This window comes from Homo sapiens, chromosome 6 (assembly GCF_000001405.40).
Source record: "Homo sapiens chromosome 6, GRCh38.p14 Primary Assembly".
NCBI classification, from domain to species: domain Eukaryota; kingdom Metazoa; phylum Chordata; class Mammalia; order Primates; family Hominidae; genus Homo; species Homo sapiens.
The window spans coordinates 146,993,176-147,011,052 of NC_000006.12; the positions used below are offsets into that span (position 1 = coordinate 146,993,176).

Here is a 17,877-nt window from a genome sequence, read left to right on the forward strand (position 1 = left end):
TTCTATAATATATTCATTAATTTTTCTAAGAACATTGTGTTATTACCAGTTTGTTGCTAATATGATGCTGATACAAATATTCCTGTACCTATCTTTAGATACAAGAGCAAGTATTTCTTTATAATATATAGCACATGCAGGAATAGAATTGCTCAGTTATGGGGTTCATGAATTTTTTTTTTTTTTGAGCCAGAGTTTTGCTCTTGTTGCCCAGGCTGGAGTGCAATGGCACGATCTCAGCTCACCACAACCTCTGCCTCCCGGGTTCCCAAGCGATTCTCCTGCCTCAGCCTCCCGAATAGCTGGGATTACAGGCATGCACCACCACACCTGGCTAATTTTGTATTTTTAGTAGAGACGGGGTTTCTCCATGTTGGTCAGGCTGGTCTTGAACTCCTGACCTCAGATGATCCGCCCACCTCAGCCTCCCAAAGTGCTAGGATTACAGGCATGAGCCACCATGCCTGGCCATGCATTTTCAACCTTACAAAATAGTGCCAACTTGTTTTTAAAAGTATGATTATACCTTGTGTAGACTCTCTCTGGCAACATTTAAGAGTTCCCTTGATTCCCATACTTGCCATCACTACATATGGTAAGATTTTGTATATGAGTAGAGCAAATGTGTAATAATAACTAATTGCACTTTTAAATTGCACTACCATAATGAGGTTTATTGTTGTTTTATGTAATTAATGACCACTGTGCGTCCCCTTCTGTGAAATACCTGTTCATATACTTAGCTCAATTTTCTATTGGATTGTTATTTGAATTTTCTTTTTACTTCATAGGACTTCTTTATATATTATAAATACTAATTCTTAATTTATTTCTGTGTTGCAAATATCTTAGATTGGGGCTTTGTAGTTTTCTTGATGAAATCTTTTGATAAATAGAGATTCTTCTTTTTAATGTTGAATTTATCAATGTTTTATTTTTCAGCTGTGAGCTGTTTTCTTGCTTTCGCTATGCTGAGATTACAGACATTCTCTTGTATTGCCCTCTAAAACAGCAATAAGCAAACTGCAGCTCACATTTGTAAATACAGCGTATGGAAACACATCCACGTCCATTCTTTTGTATAATATCTATGCCACCTTGCACTGGAAGAACAGAGTTGATAGCTGTGACCATATGGTCCACAAAGCCAAAAACTTTTACATCTGATCAGTTAGGAATAAGTGTGCTGATCTGGTTCTAAAAGATTATTAGATAGTCGATCTTTTTCTCCGAGATCTAGTGTGGCAATTGTTATGTATCAAGTTTTCATACATGTGTAGGTCTCTCTATGGGCTCTCTTCTCTTCTATTGGTCTGTGTGTCCATCTCTGTGTCATTTCAACACTGAGTTAACACAGCTTTATAGGAAATCTTGGCATCAGGTAAACCAAATTCTCACACTGTAATCTTCTTCAAGAGTATTTTCCCTTTACTTGGATATTCACTCTTTTATAAAAGTTTAGCTTTAGTTCAGACAGTTTCATGGGAAATACAACAAGTTGTTTTGATTAATATATAGATTAGGTTAATCTGCAGATCAGTGTTGTCATTTTTACTACTTTGATTACTAACCATGAAAATGCTATATGTTTATGTGTTCATTTTTACACACACACGCACATGCACACACATACACGGTTTAATGTCTTTTAATAAGGTTTAAATTTTTCAGTAGGGTTTGCACATCTTTGATTTATTCGTATATATGTTAATTGTGTAATGCTGAATGTTATCTCTTTAATTGACTTTTAAACACCATTGCTACTTTTAGTTATTCATCTTACATCCAAGAACCTTATTAAACTTGCACTATTTCTAATAATTTGCCTGTATATCCTTTTGGCTTTACTGTGTACAAAAGTAATGATAGTTTTGCTTTTTCCTTTTCAATAATTTTAGATTAGATTTCCTTCTCAAATGCACAACTTACAGTGTTACAGACAATAATAGATAGAAGCAGTGATGGTGCTTAATTGCCTCATTCCTCATTTTAGTATTTCATTATTGAATATAAATGCTCACTGTAGATTTTTGATAGATCCGTTTGTCAGGTTAGAAAGGATGCCTTCTATTTCAAAACCTCAGGATTTTTTATTATGAATGAATTTTGTAAAATGTTTTGCTGTACATATTAATCATTTTCCCCTTAATCTGTTAATGTAGTACTTATATTACCTAATGTTAAAGTACATTTGCATGACTGGGATGCATATACAAATTAAAAGTGATATCTTTCTAAACGCACTGTTGGATTTTATGTGGTAATGCTGCATTTATGATTCTGTGCATGTTATGGAGCTTGCCTATAATCATTCTTCTTGCGTTGTCTTTATTTGGACTTGTTGTTACCATTTGTCTAGCTTTAGAAAATGTGGTGAAAGTGTGCCTTTCTTTTTGCTAGGCTCTGGAATAACATATATTATTGCTGGTATGCTTTCTTATTTGTTTTGCAGATGTCACTCAGAAATCATCTTGGCCTTGTATTTTCTTTTTGGAAAGATTTTTAATTATTAATTCAATTTCTTTTATGGTTATAAATCTATTCAAGATTTCTATTTCTTCTTGAATCAGTTTTACATTTTCCTCCTGGATTTGTCTACTCCACCTACAGTTTTAATTTTGAGTTTAAAGTTTTTCAGCATTTTCACTTATCTTTTAACTCTGTTTTGTCTCTAATGAGATACCTTTTTTTATAGTTCATATTGTTTATCTAACTCTTTTTTTTCTTTTTGCACATCAATTATGTCAACATTTGGATAATTTCATTTTTTTTCTTTCCAAAGAAGCAGTTTTTGCTTTTATTAATTCTAAGAGATGTTTCCTTTTTCATTGACTTATACTTCTGTATATATTATATGCTATCCTCTATTGTGAATTTGTTCAATTGTTCTCTTTCAAACATTTAACATGGATTATTCAAAGATTGTTTTTAATTTCTAACAGTGTGGGATTTTTGAAAATTATTCTGTAAATATTGATTTCTTGATTAACTGTATTGTGGTCAAAAATATAGTTTGTATAATTCTGATTTATTAAAATTTGTTGAGACTTACTTGCTCTATGGTGAAAAAACTCTATCATACCGGTCCCCTGATATTTACTGATGCTTGATTTATGGTTTTAAATATGATTTATTTCCAAAAATGTTCTTCGTGGTCTTGAAAAACATGTCTATTTTCCAATAGAAAAATATTTCGCATGTCTGCTAGATTATGCTTCTTTATTGTATTATTCAAATCTTTCATATACTTGCATTGTTCAATTATCAATGACAGGGAGTGGTGGTAAAATGTCCCACTATGATCCTGGATATTTCTATTTTTCCCTGTAATTTTGTCAATTTTTTGCTTCATATGCTTTTAATCTCTGCTATTATATTCTTTGTTGTTGTTGTTGTTGTTGTTGTTGTTGAGACGGAGTCTGGCTCTGTCGCCCAGGCTGGAGTGCAGTGGCGCGATCTCGGCTCATCGCAAGCTCCGCCTTCCAGGTTCACGCCATTCTCCTGCCTCAGCCTCCCGAGTAGCTGGGACTATAGGCGCCTGCCGCCACGCCCGGCTAATTTTTTGTATTTTTAGTAGAGACGGGGTTTCACTGTGTTAGCCAGGAATCTCTGCTATTATATTCTTAAGAAGTATTATATTCTCCTAGTGGATTCAAACTTGCATTAATATATAATGATACTCTTGATCTCAAATGTTTCTGTCTTAAGGTCTTAAGGTCTATGTTCTTATACTATTACATTAGAACAATATGAAATTGTTTTTTTAGGTTAATAAGTGGCAAATTTATAGAGTTCAATCCAATAGCCTTGTCAGTTTTCTCTTTTTTCTCTGTGTGCTTTCGTATTAGGTATGTCTCTAATAAACAGCATGTAGCTTGATCTTTTAAAAGCATCCATACAACAACCTATGCCAGTTCATAGTGTTTCCTGATGTATTTGGATTTCTTATTGCTTTATTTTGTATTTTCTCTTTGTCTCAATTTTTGTGATTTTTTTCTTGTTAAATTAAAAAAAAAAACTTTAGAGAAAATACATTTAACACAGTTTGAGTAGAAGATGATTCATGCATGACGCAGCACTCAGAACCAGAAGGGGTTCAGAGAGCTCAGCTGCAGTAGCATGGGCAGAAGGCTTTGACAGGCTGACATGGAAGGAAGGCAAAGAAAATCTATTTGATGGCTTAGAGTGGAAAATCCCTAGGAAGAGGTTAGTTGGTGGCTTCTGACTGGTAAAGTCTCTAGTTTGGTTGTACTGCTTATATTGTGCATTGGTTTGCTTATGTAAAAATCTAAAATGCTGAGGCTGTATCAGTTTACTGACCCTCCAGTTACAATTGTTTTGGCCGGGCACGGTGGCTCACGCTTGTAATCCCAGCACTTTGGAAAGCCAAGGTGGGTGGATCACAATGTCAGGAGATCAAGACCAACCTGGCCAACATGATGAAACCTGATCTCTACTAAAAATATAAAAATTAGCTGGGTATGGCGGCGTGTTCCTGTAATCCTAGCTACTCAGGAGGCGGAGGCAGTAGAATCGCTTGAACCCGGGAGGCAGAGGGTGCAGTGAGCTGAGATCGCACCACTGCACTCCAGCCTGGCAACAGAGCGAGACTCCATCTCAAAAAAAAAAAAAAAAAAAAAAAAAAAAGAATTTTTCTACAATTGCCGTGTTCTAGATTGATTGGGGTTTTTTCCCCGGTTTTCTTTTTTTTCTAATTTTGGTATATAAACATTCAGTTTTTCTTTCTTAGTGATTACCCTTGAAATTTTAATATGCATACTTAGCAAAGTCTAACTGTGATCAGTATACTTACCTTCAGCCCAAGAACAAAAGAACCTTCTAAGGTAATCCCAATCATTCCCTCACTGTTTGCTGCTGTTGTTTCCCAAACATTTAGCTCTTTGTTGTGTTGTGTCTACTCTACAAGTTGGGCATTATTATTATTATTGATTCATGATTACTTTATAAATTTCTCCTTCTAGAATACTGATTAGATACCTATTTGCCATTATTTCAATTTCTATGTTTATCAACCCCTCTTATTTTCCAACTATTGGCCTCTGCCTTCTGCATTCCATAAAAATTTTCCAGATCCCAGCACTTTGGGAGGCCGAGGCGGGTGGATCATGAGGTCAGGAGATCGAGACCATCCTGGCTAACAAGGTGAAACCCCGTCTCTACTAAAAATACAAAAAATTAGCCGGGCGCGGTGGCGGGCGCCTGTAGTCCCAGCTACTGGGGAGGCTGAGGCAGGAGAATGGCGTGAACCCGGAAGCGGAGCTTGCAGTGAGCCGAGATTGCGCCACTGCAGTCCGCAGTCCGGCCTGGGCGACAGAGCGAGACTCCGTCTCAAAAATAAATAAATAAATAAATAAATTTTCCAGATCTATATTACAATTCATGAATTCTCCATTTAGATGCTTCTATTACACTATGCAACACTTAAGTTTTACATTCGTTATGGTTTTCAATTTTAAAATTTCTAGAGGTGAATGCTTTCTTAATCATGCAGCTTAACCCTTGTAGCCCCAAAACTGGAGTTTCTTCTCCCAGTCTAATAGTGATTTCTACTCAATGTTTATGCTGTGGCCCAGAATGCAATAGGCTCAACACTTTCTACTGCTTTCATTTCCATTTATTTACCCCGCCAAAATACTGGTGTGTAGTCTAACAGATAGTCTGTATTTATTTGTTTAAAAGCAACCCTGAATTATAATTCTAGATAATATTAACATAAGCAAAGGAGATAAAAACTTGGCCTAACGGCTACTAAGAATAACTACGAGTTTATTATGCTAAAAAATGGTATGATATTGATGCAAAAAGCAACAAAGCTGACCTACAGACCAGGATTTCTGTGAGATACATTTATATCTCAGAATTTAATACATAATAAAGATGGCATGCAAATCAGATGGTTCCATAAATTATGATAGGAAAATTGCTCATTATGGAGAAAAATTCACACCTATTACCACATAAAAGGATGGAATTCAGATATATTAAAGAAATAAATCAAGGAAAACTATAAAAATAGAAGGTAATGTGCCCTAGGGTAAGGGAAGAACTTCTTAAAACTCCAAAGACATCAATTAATTGATTTAATCACATCGAAATAAAGAATTTAAGTGAATAAAGTTAAGAGAATGATTTCACAGAGATTTTCTGTATCTAACACCACAAGAAAAATATTATGCAGAATATACATATGAGAGGAAACTCATTTTTTTAAAAAAGCATAGGAATCTCAAATTTTAAAAATAGGGTAAGGATGTTATAAAGTTGATTTCAATCAAAACTTTTTTCTCTTATTTTCTTGTATCCTTTTCTCCACCCACTGCTCGGCAGAATTCATTGCCTCAGGGAAGGAAGAACACAGCAGAAAAGCAGAGAAAAATACTAGGTTGGTGTCAAAAGCACAACTATGAAATACATAACTTTTAGGGCATAAAACATTATATTTGGAAAACCAGATGAAACTCCAGGCTCCCTTGTCCTCAAACTATACAAAGATGGCAGGCATGCAAGGAACAAGGAAAGTCATGGCAGAAACAGAGCTTATGTGATGTCAGGCTCCAGAGCTGGGTGTTCTGTCGGAAAGTCCCACAGAGAATTAGGAATTCAAGACCAGACCAAACTGGGCCCCTATCCCCAGGGGACAATCTGGAGCCAGCAAGATCCCAGTGTTCCTGTTCCTCAGCCTGGCTCCCTAGAACAGCACTACAGACAGGCCTAAGTCTACCTCCCAGTGCACCTTGTAGCCCTACAAGGAATGGGAGGTTCCCTTATGCCTGAGAGCAGAGCAGAGACAGCTGCTCCGAGAGCCCTTAGTCGGATCAAGGTAAAGGCACCAGGGCCTCACGGTCACAGTGGGAATGGGATGCTGTAGATGCGTCTGTGTGGATGCAGAATGATTTCAAGGACCAGCCTCCCTCTTTCCCTAAGTCCTTGCCTTCAATTATGGACAAACCCAGAGAAAGGGAGGGGAACCCCACTAGACTAGCCGTTCTCAACAGGGAATCATTTTGCCTCTCAGCAGATATTTGGCAATGTCTGAAGATGTGTCTGGTTGTTAGAACTGGGAGGTGCTGCTGGTATCTGGCAGACATGGGTCAGGGGTGCTCCTAAATATTCTGTAATACACAGCTTCCCAAATAATTACCCAGCCCCGAATCTCAATAGTGTCAAGGCTGAGAAACTCTGCCTAAACTGAGATTAGGTTTTAATCCTATGGCAAAATAAAGATTTATAATAAAAATTACGTTCATTTATTTAAAAGTAAAGAAAATTGCATGGAATTTTCACTAGTTCATGGAATAAAATGTGCATCCACTTTTTTATGCAAAGGAATCTATTATTTCTCTAATATAAAATAATCAACACTCATCATTTCTGGATTTAATGAAGAGGTTTTTGGGGCAAGAAAAGCTTAAGTAACTTTAAAGGAAGACAAAGTACTACACCTGGCACGAGGAGGAAAGAGAAATGGAAGCAGGAAGGCAGATGCCAGAAGCTTACAACAATATTCTAAGCCGAGGAGAGGAGGAAAGCAGGGGAGAGGGAAGTTTTGTGCAGCTGAGTCATCCGTGGAACATCGTTCAGAGAAGCTGTTTCTAATCAACAACAAGGGGGCCATGAGCATTTTCAGAGAGGTGAGATGGGCTCCCTTCCAAACTCTACACTTAAAGTTTACTAAGAATATAGTGTGAGAACCCCAACCAATGAACTGGCTAGGTTGAATATCAGCAAAGGAAAAAATGGGAAATGTTTTCAAAAATAGCATGAATGAAAGCAAAGGTCAAAATCAACGAAGAGAACACAGAAAGGAGGAAGGAAAGGAGAAAAAGATCTAGAAACAATTACTATGGATAATAAGCAAATCAGTCTTATGTTAATGACATGCCCAAGTGTTCCATTTTTATGCGAAAGGAAATAACTGTGAAGTATCACCAACATAAACACTAATTAAAAGAGATTAAATGTCTTGGGATGAAATGTCATAACATAACACACTGTCAGTTTGTGGTGTTCTCAAAATGTTAATGACCTCTAACTTCAGCTGTTTCCAATACCCACGATCTCAAGGGAAAGAAACCTCAGCTGCAGGACTCCTGGGGGGAGCTCAGAGCTTTGTCCCATTTCCTCACTGTTAGTAGATAAAGTTTCATTGAAAACGAGTCGATGACATTTGCCCATAATTCAGAAGGGACCATGTTTTCTAAAAAGGATTTTTCTCTTCCCAGAAAGTACTAGAGTTTATCTTACCATTTCAATAATGTTCCAGACCTGATTCAGTCAGTCTCAAATACCCTTTGGAATAATAGTCTTCTGTTCTCTAGCAGTGACATTTCTCCAGCAACAGTGGCATCTGCAGAAAATTTAGGAAGTGAGAGTTCATCATTTTATAAATTCATTCTGGAAAAAAAGTGTGAGTCAGGATGAATTTATAACCATTTTACCAGGACAGATCCCAGAATTCTTCCTGAACTGTTAATTTAGAGTATATTCTGAGTGGCCACACCTCCTCATTTACTTTAATAAAAATCATTTGTACTTCTGATTGCCACAATTATTTTTACCTCCCAGCCAAAGAAATTAGGCAAGCACCCTATGGTCATTTCACAGATTAGTCATCCTCTCCTGTCTATTCTACTGACCCAGTTTCTCTCACACAGCCACGACATGTTCTGTCCCATCTAACCAGCAACACTTTTGAACATATGAACCTCTATGTGTATGCATCTGTTGACAATTTTGCCTGCATTTATTTGACAAATGCTTATTGAAATTTTATTAAACACAAGCCCTCAAATAAGTTCCTGGTTTCAGGAAATTTCTAATATTTGGGGATGCAAGATTGGAGACAAGAGCCATAATAGGAAAAGCAATATGGGGCAGTATAGGTAAGTGTCACATCTATGGTCCAATTAAAGTCCTCAGTAATTAACAAGAAGAGGAGTCCTTTAGCCGGAAACATCCGGGAAATCTTCAGGGCAGTGGGTTACACACCATGAACCTTGAAAATGTTTACAGAATGTTGATTGAGATGCACAGAATAAGACATTCTGCCTGTTATGTTAAAGTAACCATTAACCACATGTGACTATTTAACTTGAGCTGAAATAAAAGTAAAAATTCAGTCATACTATTGAGCACATTTCAAGTGCTCAGTAGCCACATGTAGCTAATGGCTACCAAATTGCACAGTATAGAATATTTCCATCATTGCAAAAAAAATCTGTTGGTATGCTCTGTTCTAACTTGAAAAAAATGTGATAATTATCCATAGGAAACTACAGGTGTTTTACAGATACTTGGGCACCAGTAAGCATGCCACATTTGCTGGAGCACAAGGTATAAATAGAATAGTAGTGGAATAAGATTGGAAAGGGAAGTTGAAATCAAATTTCAGTGGTCCTGAATGCATTCATTCAAAGTCAGAGGTTTGTTTAGACCAGAGGACTGAGATTTAGAAGGATTAATCTTTGGTTATGTGTAAAATAATGACCTGAAAAGCAACCAGACAATGGGCGCTCAGCGATGGCTGCACATTAGAATCATCTGGGGAACTTTTAAAGACTTGATTGCCCAGGCCATACCCCAGATGAATTAAATCAAAATCAATGGGGGTCAACTTGTATATCAGTATTTTTTTAAATCTCCCCAGGTAATTCCAATATGCAAAAGTATTTAGAGATATTTGCTGTTTTTATGTGCACAGCATCCCTTCTCCCACTTCTGTCAAGAATAGCCTCTTTCTCCTGATGAATTTCCCCTTTTTCTACCCAATCTTGGTGGACTTTCCAATCATAATAAGCTGATGCCCTGGTCAAAAGACATAGCCTTGGAACCAAATCCTGGCAAATCATAATACCCCAGTTATGCTGGCTATGAGACCACATACCAGGTTTAGACTATAATCCAAATTAGGCAAATAAGAGCCTGTTCTGAGATTTTGCATGCATTTTTCTGGTTGAAAAGTCTATTTCATCTAGGAGGTCACTAAACTAAGATGATGTTAGCCTTAATATTTCTGTGATACATTCTTCTCTCTACCTTATGGCCACCATCATGCCATTGAATGGTATAAAGTCATCAACACAAGAAAATTACAAAATTCACAGATGCAAGCACAGCTAAAACATTTTGCAGTAGGAATGTCAGTGAAGACACAGAAAGAAGACCTCATGACATTCCTTGGGCTCTTGGCAAAGTCCCTGAGGACAGCTCTATCTCTGGATTTCCCAGTTGCCTGAGCCAAGAAATTACCTAACTACTCTTTCTGCTATTGCTTAAATTTGTTTGAGATATGTTTTGGTCCTTTTAGTAGTAAAATATGTATATACAGAGATGTAGAATGTAGCTTTGCCAAACATGTTTGACCATAGACCCCTCTTAGAATACCTATTAACGATTTATAAAACACTCATCTTTTTTCAAAAGTGCTACAAAGAATTGCTGAAACATGAGCACCCTAAGTATGACAACCATAGTGAGACTCACTTGTAAACCTAGAGTGAAAGATAATTGACTTAAGCTAATAGAAGCAAAGAACAACAAAGAGAATGTGTGGGAGCACAGGGGTACCTGAAAGGTAGATCAGAAAGAGAAATGAGCCTAAAGGCAGGAAACAAGGAAGGGTAGTACAAGGAGTTCCACCATCTCCATCATTACCATATCTCCACCATCTCCACATTATCTTAGTGCCTTGTATACAAACATGACCTTAATCTATGTTGACTACACAGTTCAACCTTCAGGGTTATGCAAACAGCCTCATTCTTGTGCCAGAAGAAGGAGGTCTGTCTTAAGTCAAGACCAATAGTAACCTAGACCTCTTTACTGTAGGGTAGAGGTTTAAAGTGAAGAAAGAAGATAGTCAAAGCTCATGTATCCATGTAGTTCATTCTCTTGACTTTTCAGACTTTGGATTGCTGTTTCCTTGGTAATCCCATGGAGCATATTTATTAAGATGAACCCAGGGCCATGTCTAATTCAAAGCGGCATCTTCCCACGTGACAGGACTCACATAGCCTTGGCTAAGTCATTTGGGCCTGCTGACTAAACCAAAACATGTATCTAAGAATAAGGAACCCTAAAGACCAACTCTTACTAAAAAACTTAGCAAGACAGACAAAAAAATAAAAATTCCAAAAGCAAATGCACACTCCAGTCCAGTTCACTACCCCAACTTCTCTTTTTTATATAACTCCCTTTTGAATCTGTTTGAAGAGTTGATCAGGCTTGGGGATTACATCTAGTTCTTGATCTCTTCTTGCCTTAAAGCACAAACAACAACCTACTCAGCTCTTTTGCCCAGCCATCCCCAGATATGAATTAATGGGGCTTACCGTGTTTGGTGTTAATGATCCTGCATAATGACTAGAGGCCAGTGAAGCAGAGAAAATATTAGAAGAAGTAATCATAATTGGCTGGTTGAAAAAACTGGGTGGGGATCAGATCTACTCACAGGAGGGGAAATAAGGCTTTTAACAGGAAGAAAATAGCTGGTAACATAGGCATTCTTTGCACCCCGCAATCCTTCCACTGCTGATATTTCCTGTCACTTTTACTTGAGGATTCAACCTTTACCTTACACTACCTCAGGCATTTTATGTAACTTAACTCAAGCAATTTTCAGATGCCAGTCTCTATAGGATGTGTTCTGTGTTTTAAAGAAATTTTACAATATATTCCCATTTATAGATTTTAAAATGTAGGATTCTATGACAAATGATGAAGAAAAATCTCTTCCCTGGTAGGAGGTTGCTTGAGATGGCCTTTGTAAGACCTCTTCCAGTTCTGATAGTGAATGACAATATTTAAATGTTCAAAGATATGCACATTGTGTGAATGCCAAGAAAAAAAAAATAGAGGATGGAGGATGGAGAGAATGTAAGGGATTTTGCTATTTTGTTTCTATAATCAAAAAATAGTTTTATGCAGCCTCCCTTTGAGTTTGTTGTATAAACACATTTGTGAATAGAAAATTTAAGAGACCTTTAACATTTGAGAAATTCAGCTGTTTCAACAGTCACCATGTCAAGCACACAATGACACTTTGTTTTCACTGAGCCTCATAGAATTGGATTACCCAGCAATGATGCGATGAAGGTGTATGTTGTAAACAGTAATGGGCTACTCGATAATGAGAATCTTACATGTTATCCCAAGTCAGGTGGGTACAGTCAAAGTCAAAGGGATTTGGATGCTCTACTGGTAAAAAAATCTTTCCCATGTAGTCTGTCAATCCATTCATTCAAAAAACAAACAAAAACAAAAAAAAAAACAGGGTTTGAAAAAGTATCCTATCATAACCCTGCGGATTTCAAACTGTCTTTTTCAAGTAGAAGATGTCCAAAATATGGAAATTGGATTTTAAAAAACCTACAGGTGGTAGAAGAAAATAAGAGTTCTTTCAGTTCTCTCTCTAGCCCCTCCATAATCTCAGAGGTTCCAGTAAGCAAGGTGTGAAAACCATGATAGGAAATTCTTTCCTCATTCATTGTCAAGTATGGCACCCCCTGAAGTTTTGCAACATATCAGCCCTGACTGAATGGCCTGAGAAAGCAATTGATTAATTAGAACTAGGAATCTTTTGTATCTTCTAGAGTCTCCTTTAAAAATGTAAATGTTCCTGGGAGGAGAAACATCTTAAGCAATTATGAGAGATTATTTTGTGAATTCAACTTTGCAGCATGGAAGCTTGGCTGATAACAAAGCTTTATAGAATGGGGTACAGATAATGGAAGTTAAACAAACTAAACTAGATGTAACCAAGGAAAAACTTATTTACTTCCTGAGGTTACACAGGGTCCACCTAACAAGATATCAATAGCTTTTTTCATATGACCATAAAGATAATTGTTATTTTCTTTCCAAATTTTATTTTAGGTTCAAGGGTACATGTGCAGGCTTATTACATGGGTAAATTGCATGTTGTGGGGGTTTAGTGTACAGATTATTTTGTCACCCAGGTGACATAGTACCCAATAAGTAGTACCCAACAAGTACTTTTTCTATATTCACCCTCCTCTTACTGTCTACCTTCAAGTAGGCCCACGTGTACTCAATGTTTAGCTCCCACCGACGAGCGAGAACATATGTATGCGTGCCTTTATGGCAGAACAATTTATATTCCTTTGGGTATATACTCAGCAATGGGGTTGCTGAGTCAACTGGTAGCTCTGTTTTAAGTTATTTGAGAAATCTCCAAACTGCTTTCCACCGTGGCTGAACTTATTTACCTTCCCACCAGCAGTGTATATTATTTTTCTCCACAACCTTGCCAGCATGTTATTTTGTTTACTTTTTAATAACACCTAGAGGAATGAGAAAAGAGCAAACCAATCTCAAAGTTAGTGGAAGAAAATAAATAACCAAAATCAAAGCTGAATTGAATGAAATTGAGATGCAAAAAACTATACAAAAGATCAATGAAACTAAAAGTTGGTTCTTGGGGAGAATAAGATTGATAGACTGCCAGCTACATTAGTAAAGAAAATGAGAGAGAAGATCTGAAGAAACACAATTAGAAATGACAAAGGGGACATTACCACTGACCCCACAGAAATACAAAAAACCCTCAGAGACAATTACAAGAACCTCTATGCACACATACTAGAAACCTAGAAGAAACTGATAAATTCCTGGAAATATACAACCTCCCAAGATTGAACCAGGAAGAACCTGAAACCCTGAACAGACCAATAATGAGTTCCATAATTTAATCAGCAACAAAAAGCCTGCCAAGCAGCAAAAGCCCTGGACCAAATGGACTCATGGCCAAATTTGACCAGACATATGAAGAAGAGCTGGTACCAATCCTATTGAAACTATTCCCCCACAAAAAAAAAAAAAATCGAGGAAGAGAGACTCATCTCTAAACTATTCTATGAGGCCAGCATCATTCTGATACTAAAACTTGGCAGAGACACAACAAAAAGATATCAATAGTTTTTAAATAATTATTAAATTGTGAACATTTGAAATATCCTGTGCACCAGATACTCTTCCAAGTCTCACTTTATGTACTAATTTATTTTTTTGTGTTTCTTTATTCCTTTTATGTATTAACTTATTAATGCAGTCTTTATAACAACTATGTGATGAAAGTTCTATTTTATACTCATATTACAAATGAGGAAACTGAGGCATAGGGGAGTGAAGATCACATAGTTAAAAAGAGACAGAGCCAAGATTCAAATCTAGCTCTAGTTCTAAGGCCTGTGATAACCTCATAGAATGTTTCATCTTCCAGGGGAGTAGATAATTATTTCATATCTCCCCCCAGCCCTCCCAAAGAATAGCCCCTTCTGAACTTTAACTCTCTCACTGGTCCTCTCCAGGGTTGTTGATTGCTCCAAAGAAATTAAAATGTTGCATTTTAGAGAGCTATGTGCATATTGAGATGAGAGTTTTCCTCCAGTTTTACAGCCTAAGCTCTAACCAGCTAAATACTTATTTTGCTTAATTGAAGCAGCATGGTGTTTTCAGGTCTGTCATGTACTACAACCAGGGTGTGTCACAAAACTCCAGGCAAATGACACACACAGAAATGCTGATGTGACTATCATCTTCTGGGGCTGAAGTATGAAAAGTGGTGACCCTGGGAGTTTGGCCTTTACCTACATCATTAAAGCAAAATGCTTTATTCTGTGTCCTGCTCTGTATCTTTCATAGAGGTCCCAACATCAGCCACTATGTAACCTGTCCCATCTGACTCTCAGGAGTGTCTTCTAGAGCCCGGTAACCTTTGCATCCTACAAACGGGGGCTCTGCCTGGGAAAAGCTATAGAACCCCGTGGAAGTGATCTAGAAAGGGTCACACTCAAATCCTTCTTTACATAAAGAGAACACTAAGGTCTAGAGAGGTAGATTCATTTACTCAAGATCACAGAGGTATTAGTGGAAAATCCAGAATTTGAATCTAAACACAATGACACTGGGGTTTAGGTTTATTTATTTATTTATGGCTATAAGTTAATATACTTAGAAAGTGAATATAAAAACTATATGATAGGAACCGCCACATCTGGCCATGTTGAAGTAATAGGGACTAGGTTTATCCATCTTCATTAAATAACCAGGAAGTTGGAATAAGACAATGTTTTTTTTTTTTTGTTTGTTTGTTTTTGAGACAGAGTCTCGCTCCGTGGCCCAGGTTGGAGTGCAGTGGCGCGATCTCGGCTCACTGCAAGCTCCGCCTCCCAGGTTCACGCCATTCTCCTGCCTCAGCCTCCCCACTAGCTGGGACTACAGGTGCCCTCCATGGCGCCCGGCTAATTTTTTTTTTTTTTTTGTATTTTTAGTAGAGACGGGGTTTCACTGTGTTAGCTAGGATGGTCTCGATCTCCTGACCTTGTGATCCACCCGCCTCGGCCTCCCAAAGTGCTGGGATTACAGGCGTGAGCCACCGCGCCCGGCCGGAGTAAGACAATGTTTTTTAGACATTAGAAAAGTCAACAGAGGACTATGAAGTAAATACTACCGTAGCCTCACTTATAATCTCAGAAAATTTTCCAAGCTGTGGAGGGAAACCCAAAAAGAACCTGGCAGTCTTGTAGAATTGAGAGGGTAGAATATGGAGTTAAGGGAGGTCAGAGAAGTTAGCTTTTGTAGGGCAAATACTGAAAAAAAAAAGGAAACTGTAAAGAAAGCACTAGAGATATACAGAGGGGGCCTGTCACATCTTTAGCTAAGTACTGATCAGCACACATATTTGAGAAAAGGAACCAGAAAAAGAATCACTAGAACGGAGTAGAGAAAACAATCCCTGAAACTCACACAGGCCTAGGAACCCTGTGAGTTTCCACTAGCCAGAATGGAAAGATTTCCTAGTACAGGGGACGTTAGATGCATTCTTCAGATGGATATTGCCTCAGTAGTGGGGTCAAATTAATCCAAGAAGAAAACCTGCTCTGAATCCACCACAACAAACCTTAAAGGCAAGCTTGAAATGATCTGATTGCAAGTAAACATAACTGAATCCCAAAACAAAGGCCAACATTATTTAAAGAGATACAGTGAAACTCAGCACCTAATAATGTAAAACACACAAGGTCTAGCATCTAACAAAAAATTGTCAGTCATTCAAACTAGCAGAAAGATACCACCAATAATAGGAGAAAATCAATCAATAAAAAGAGACCCAGAAAGAAGACATATGATAGAATTAACAGATAAGAATATTAGAGCGACTATTAAAAATATAATCCATATATTCAAGAATGTACAAGAAACCATACATACGAGGGAAGAAATGGAAGAGTTATTCTGAAAAGACTCAAACCAAATTTCTAAAGATATTTTAAAAACACCTAAACTAAAAAAATACACTGAATGAATGTGGCAACATATTAGAGACTGCTATAGAAAAGATAAGGGAATTTGAAGATTTAGTAAGAGGAACTAAATAAAATGTAACATAGATTTCTTTCAATGGAAAAATAAATAGAGCTTCAGTGAATGAGGGAAAATATCTAACAGTCTGACATATGTGAACTTAGATTTATTTCCAAAAAGAAAGTGGATATGGTAAGGGAGAAAAATAATTGAGGAAACAATGATCCATCTTTTCCAAACTTGATGAAAAGTAAAACCTACAGATCCAAAAATTTAATGAGCCTCCAGCAAAAAAGCATAAAAGGAACAGGAAGAAAACCATATAGTGGCACATTATAACCAATTTTTTAAAATACTGAAAGTTTTAAAAGTAGCCAGGGGACAAAAAGACATATTATACAGAAAAACATACACAGGGAACTACTTATCAAAAACTATACATGCCAGAAGAAAACAGAGGACATAGTTACTGTAATGAAAGAAAAAATGCCCACATTGAATTTTACACTCAGCAAAAAATGTTTCAAAAGTGAAATTGAAATAAGGACCTTTTCAGACAAACAAAAGCAGAGAGAATTCATCTCTAACAGAATGACACTTTAAGAAATGTTAAAGGAAATTCTTCAAACAACAGGAAATGATAGCACATGAAAATTTAAATGTACCCAAAGGAATAAATAACAGTGAAAATGGTAAATGTATAGGTGAATGTAAAAAATCACTTTTTTCTCAATTTTATTAATCTCTCTAAAGAATAATTGATGATTGAAAGCAAACATAATTATTTTTGTGGGCTTTATTACCTAAGTCAAATGTATGGTAATAGCAGCACAAAGTACTACAAAAAATAAAATGAAAGCCTAATGTTTTATATTTCTTACACAAGAAATGTGATATTATTATTTGAAAGTAGACAATGCTGAGTTACATAGTAAATTCTAGAGCAACAACTACTTAAAAAATGCATAACTAATGAGAAAACAATGGGGAAAAAATGAATCATTAGAAATACTCAATAAGTCCATAAGGAGGCAGAAAAATGGGAAGGGGAGGAACATGTGTACCAAATAGAAAATAAATACCAATATGATATATTTAATCAACATTTTATCAATAATCACATTAACTCTAAATAGCCTAAACATTCCAACTGAAAGGCATAAACTTTTAGATTTAATAAAAAATTTTTTAATTTAAGCAAAATTTAACTACCTGCCCTCTAAAAAAAAACTTGCTTTAAATGTAAATACACAAAGTAAAAGAATGGAAAAAGATATGTCATGCAAATATTAATAAAACATAAAGACAATAAATAACATCAGAGATGCAAACTGCAGAGGAAAGAATATTACCGAGGTAAAGAGGGATACTCTATTATGAAACAAAATTCAATTAATCAAGATGGCATAAGATTTCTAAATGTATGTGACCTAGTAACAGAGCTTCAAAGTAAAGAAAAAAACAGGAGAAGTTTCAAATCTACAATTATAGTTGAACATTTCAAAATCTCTACCTCAATAATAGAACAAAATA

The 17,877-nt window shown here is 36.5% G+C and overlaps 1 long non-coding RNA gene across 1 annotated transcript in view; it reads right to left on the minus strand.

Annotated features, from left to right (window-relative positions):
* The window catches only part of STXBP5-AS1 (STXBP5 antisense RNA 1), a 363,227-nt gene that overhangs the window by 151,788 nt on the left and 193,562 nt on the right, over positions 1 to 17,877 (minus strand). The window contains exon 6 of the long non-coding RNA NR_034115.1: positions 8,266 to 8,368. This is a non-coding gene — a long non-coding RNA (STXBP5 antisense RNA 1). The remainder of the gene's footprint in view (positions 1 to 8,265; positions 8,369 to 17,877) is intronic.